The sequence below is a fragment of the Homo sapiens genome, chromosome 13 (assembly GCF_000001405.40).
Source record: "Homo sapiens chromosome 13, GRCh38.p14 Primary Assembly".
Classification (NCBI taxonomy): domain Eukaryota; kingdom Metazoa; phylum Chordata; class Mammalia; order Primates; family Hominidae; genus Homo; species Homo sapiens.
The window spans coordinates 109,208,006-109,213,059 of record NC_000013.11 but is presented as its reverse complement, the minus strand read 5'-3'; the positions used below and the strand labels follow the sequence as shown (position 1 = coordinate 109,213,059).

Here is a 5,054-nt window from a genome sequence, read left to right as displayed (position 1 = left end):
AGGTGCAGCTCCATGACTGAGTTCTGGCCCATGGAATGTGGAGGCACGTTAAGCCATTTTTAGGCAGGCCATGAATTCCTCCTGGGTCTGTTCCCTGTGCTCTAATCCTCATCTACTGGCTAAGCAAGGAGCACCCGCAAAGGCCTAGAGGAGGCTGAGCCATGAGACGGACGGACCCTTGATCTTTGAATGACTGTGTCAACTGTGACTTAAGAGAGAATACTAAAATAGAAGGACAGCTTTATTGTGTGAAACCACTAGAGCCTGTGGTTGTTAAAACAACCAACTTGAGTAACAAACATAGATAGGGGTGGGAAGTCAAGACAAATAAGAAAACTGCCCACAAGTGCCACCTACCAACTGTCAGGAGCAAAACTGGGAGGTAGAGTGACTTGTACCTTTAATGAATTTTTCTCATTGAGTCTTTGTGGGCAAACTTTTGGCTTCTGAAGACTGTGGGCAGCAAGTATTATGTCTTTGTAGGGTTTGCCTTTCCTTCTGAGGCTGAAAAATAAGAGTTCTTGGTACGGGATAAAAACACGTCAGTAATGAGACAGTGTCACCTCTGATTTCCTAATTCCTTACCATTGACACCCTGAGCATCCGAGGCCATGACTCGGTGGATTTCTTGTGGCCTCTTTTTCTCTTTTGCTGGGAAAATTTTCTTGCTTTTAAAAATATAGACGGTCATCCTTTTATGTAACAGTTTCTAAGCCCAAGGGAATGACAATAGTTCTCCAACCACAAAATGCAGTTATAATTGTCTGAAGAACTAGTTCCCCTACAAAACAGGTGTATATAGATGACCTATTTGTATTAAAAAGTGTCCAAAACACTAGCTTTGTGATATTAAATGTAATTATCTTATTCAACAATAATATTGATGAAGAATAATAGGGAGTGGTCGGGTGGCTATGCTCTTCTTATTGCCACACAAAAGTCTAATGCAATTTATCATAAACATTAAGTTCGGAAAGAAAACCTCTCTTCAAATATGACAGAATGTATACATTTTTCAATTAATTGTTTTAGATCATGGCCCTCCAACCCTTTTGTTTGTTGAAATCTTAAAAGATCAAAAACTCAAATTGAATTTGGTTTTATTCCATTTTTCTTTAGAGCTTTGATCCCCCCCTCCCTTGGAATTTATCAATAGTTTCATTCTCTTTCATTTTCTTTAGACTTCAGAAGCCAAATGGTGACATCAGGAAAATGTCATCTGAGCAGGCTCGCTGGCCTTCCTTTGAAGCAGCGCTTGTTCCCTGGGGCTACAGGGAAAGGCAAGCTGGCAGATATGCAGGGTGTCTGTCCCATGACTAATTCAAAGGAAAGAAAAGACACATTTGATACATTCCTATTATAAAACAACAATAGAAATGAATGCATAGATTTATTCACCTTTAATTATTTTCTTATGAGAGGACATCAACATTTTCTTCTGCCATTATAATGATCCGGTAAACTACATAAAATTCAGATTATATTATGCTGATGTTGAAGCACACAAGAATGATATTTAAAGTATAAGCACATTTCAAAAAGCCTGGAAAATGATCTGAGAAATTAGAACAGGTGATAGAGATGAATTATAGGCACCTATTAAGACATACCCTTTGAAAAATAACATCTTTAAAGTTTATAAAGCATCCTGGATTTTAGAGAAACTTACTGAAACCACAATAATAGAACATCGCAGGGGTTTGGAGTATTTAGGTAAAGTGAAAAAAACTACAAAGATTATTCTTCCCAGTCTGTAACTCAGCATGCTACAACCTTTTGCTATCTAATGGGTATCTTTGTAACTCACGTGGACGCCTTGCAGCACAGAACATCGTTGGTAGTAGAATTTGTTTTATGAAGTCATTGCTTATGAATAAGATGTAAAGGAAGAAAAATGGGGGTGGAGATGATATTTTTAGTTTTTTGAAAGCAGTGCTACTGTTTTGGGATCCCATGAGTATCACACAGAACTCACTATTCCACAGTAAATAGAAATTTAATTGCTTTCGTCTTCATTATATGGATTTTTATGTGCAGCTAAAAACAATTTGAAAAATGTAATAAAATTACACTAAATGTTTACTTGGAACAGAGTTTTTTTTTCCTCCAGCTAATTTAAGAATCTTTTTTATTGAAACTTTCCTGATGAGAAATAGAAATCAATTCCATTCATTTCTCATCAAAAACTACATTTAAATGATTAGGAAAAAATGAGCAGTTCCAAGTGACGGTCAATGGGTGAAACGTGTCCTATTGAAGAACGTTATTATTTAATACCCTCATGCCCTTTATTGTGATACGAGTTGAGTTTGATGTCTGGCTGGAAACTGACAGCAATAGAATTTTGACAAAAGTTCATCCATCCTTTCAGACTCTGGAATTCATAATATACCTTTTGTCCAAGTTGTGTAATGTTTATTTGTGAAGTCCATTCATAAATCTTAGATTTTAATTGGTTGTTGCTTTTATTGAGCAGATTTATATAAGCATAATTCTAACTAAATTAGATACCACTATTTAAGAATAGTGATGATATATTTTTCCATCCTGGGAAATACATTTTAAATCATTTTAACTCATTGTAAACATTTGGATAGTGGTTTTTAGAGAGCTCTCATAAATAATTTTTTTAAAAAAGCAATAGAAGTGGGCAGTGTTTGAACATAGGGTAATAATTCATACCAATTATATTGCTGAACATAAGTTTGAAGCCTCAATAATACATCCTAATTCATACCTTATGGTCTGATGGCAATTAAAATACCACCATTAAATATTTTGCAAACACACATAAAAGCTGAAATCTTGCTTATGTAGAATAATATTCAGTACTTTATTACCCAGAATATTACCTCTTTATTTTCTTGACAAAGTATAATCATTAGAGAGCCATTCTGAGAGTAACTTTAATCCACACGAAGGCTTGGACTTCGTATTATTGTGACTGTTAATACTGTTACTACTGTCATGGCTATTGATGCTTTTGAGCCTCTGCTGATTTTCATATCATGTAATTAGAACAGGCACAATCAGATGGTCCTAATGTAGTGATTAACACACACCTGCAATCTCTTTCCACAGCGGAGAATCCAAACAACTAAACACAAAAGGGCTTACTTACTGATTAAGGAGATTGTGTTTAAAGGGTCTGTCCACATTGATTTAGAAGATTGTGTTTAAACAATCTATCTACAAGCGGGTTGGCTTCTAGTGTCTGAAGGTCAACAAACCTTAAATGAGGCAGAGGGACTACTGAGAGGTTAAATATTTCATGTTCATGATGCTCATAGTACCCTAATAGGTGACTGTAATGTTTACCTAGTGATGACACAGGCCCCAGTGCTTCAACTTGGGTTAATAGGGAGTTGTGTGGTTTGGACACACATGTGGCTTGTGACTTCCTTACTTCACGTAAGGTCTCCCTACAATGGTCATGCATCATCATTTCAGGTGTCTTTTCATAAAGTAAGTTGGCAATTTCTGTATATCAAATTAAAATGGCATGGACATTGGAATCATAAAGATGAGAGTTTATATCTGATGGGCTGCTTAAAGCTATAAGCTTCAATTTCAGTATCAATACAAAAATGATAAAAATTACCTTGTAGGCATATGTCAGTGCTGTGGACTGAACTATGTCCTCCCAGAATTCCTATGCTGAAACGCTGATCCCCAGTATGATGAAATTTGGAGGCAGGGTCTTTGGGATATGATTAGGTCATGAGGGCAGAGGCCTCGTGATGGAATTCATGCCCTTATAAGAAGAGACACCGGAGAGGGTGCTTCCTCCCCTTCTTCTCTGAACATGCGAGGGTACGATGAGAAGATGGCCATCTGCAATCCAGGAAGCAGGCCCTCACCAGACACGGGATCTGTGGAAATTTTCATCTTGGACTTCCTAGGCTTCAGAACTGTGGGAATACATGCTTGTTGTTGAAGCCACCCTGCTGATGGCCATTTGTTACAGCAGCCCTAACCAAAATAGCCAGTTTAGGAATCACATGGGCTGAGCACCTCGCACAGTCAGCACAATGCTCAGTGAACATTTGAAGCAAGTTCTTGCAATGTGCAATGCTTAAACAGTTTATTTTTCACCCTGGCCTAAATATATTGTGGGGAGGAGAATGCAATTCAAAGTTTTAATTCAACTAAGATCATTAAGTGCCTATTATGTCCATAGCATGGCCCAAGAAGCCATGTATCAAGGGAAAGTTGGCTTCTTCCATTGCTTCTTCGCGGGGGTGGAAGTCAGAAGGGAAAAACATGAGAGAAATAGGCAGGGAATGGGACTCGGCTGTCGTCAGGCTGGAGGTCAGGCAGAACACTTCCTTGTGGTTGCTGGGTGGCTGCAGTAACATTGCAGTAACTACATATTGACCATGTGCTTTTATTTGCTGTGTTCTGATGCTTTGGCATCTGGGGCCCTGCTGACCTTGGAGGAATTGCCATTTCCAGGGTTAGCCACGTCCAAAAGATAATGATGACTCACCCCAGAACATGATTTTCAAAGACAAGTCAACCAATCTAGAGCCCACATCCCTAGTAAGTCTCCCCTGTGGGCTCTCATAGGGCTGTCATTCCAGGCCACTCTCCACCCACCCTAATCACCTCAAGGCTAGGTCCCAGACAGGTAGGGATGGCTCCGCTAACCCAGAACCCACCGATATTTCTCAAAGCAGTCAGTTCTATGCCTGCTGATCCTGCCTTGTCCTTTCCTAGTGTTGTGCAAACTAAAATAAAAGGCTCCCCCTATGCCCTCTGCTTCCTGGCTGACCTTGGTGTGGCCCTCTGATGGCACTATGTGTCCTCTTCTCTGAGCTTTCTGAGGATGACAAGCCGTCTTTTCAATGGGACTCCCTTCCAGACCTGTTGGTCTCACCATACTGGAATCATCATAAAGCCTGTATTGTAAAACATCATTGGTGTCTAAAGTTTGCACAATGCTATGGCCCCCACATTAAGGGAGTCTGGGTGAGATCACTTCATTGTCCCTACTTCTCTGACCAGAAAACACAAGAGTTCATGGGAGACAATAATAACAACAACAAAAACAA

The 5,054-nt window shown here is 39.2% G+C and overlaps 1 annotated feature.

Moving 5' to 3' along the window:
- Positions 744-1,943: an enhancer, noted in NCBI's record as "MED14-independent group 3 enhancer chr13:109863465-109864664 (GRCh37/hg19 assembly coordinates)". NCBI's record gives its function as "activates an origin of replication core promoter dependent on BRD2, BRD4, P300/CBP and CDK7 cofactors, and independent of MED14, by STARR-seq in HCT116 cells {active_cell/tissue: HCT116}" and the evidence as "EXISTENCE:reporter gene assay evidence [ECO:0000049][PMID:35650434]".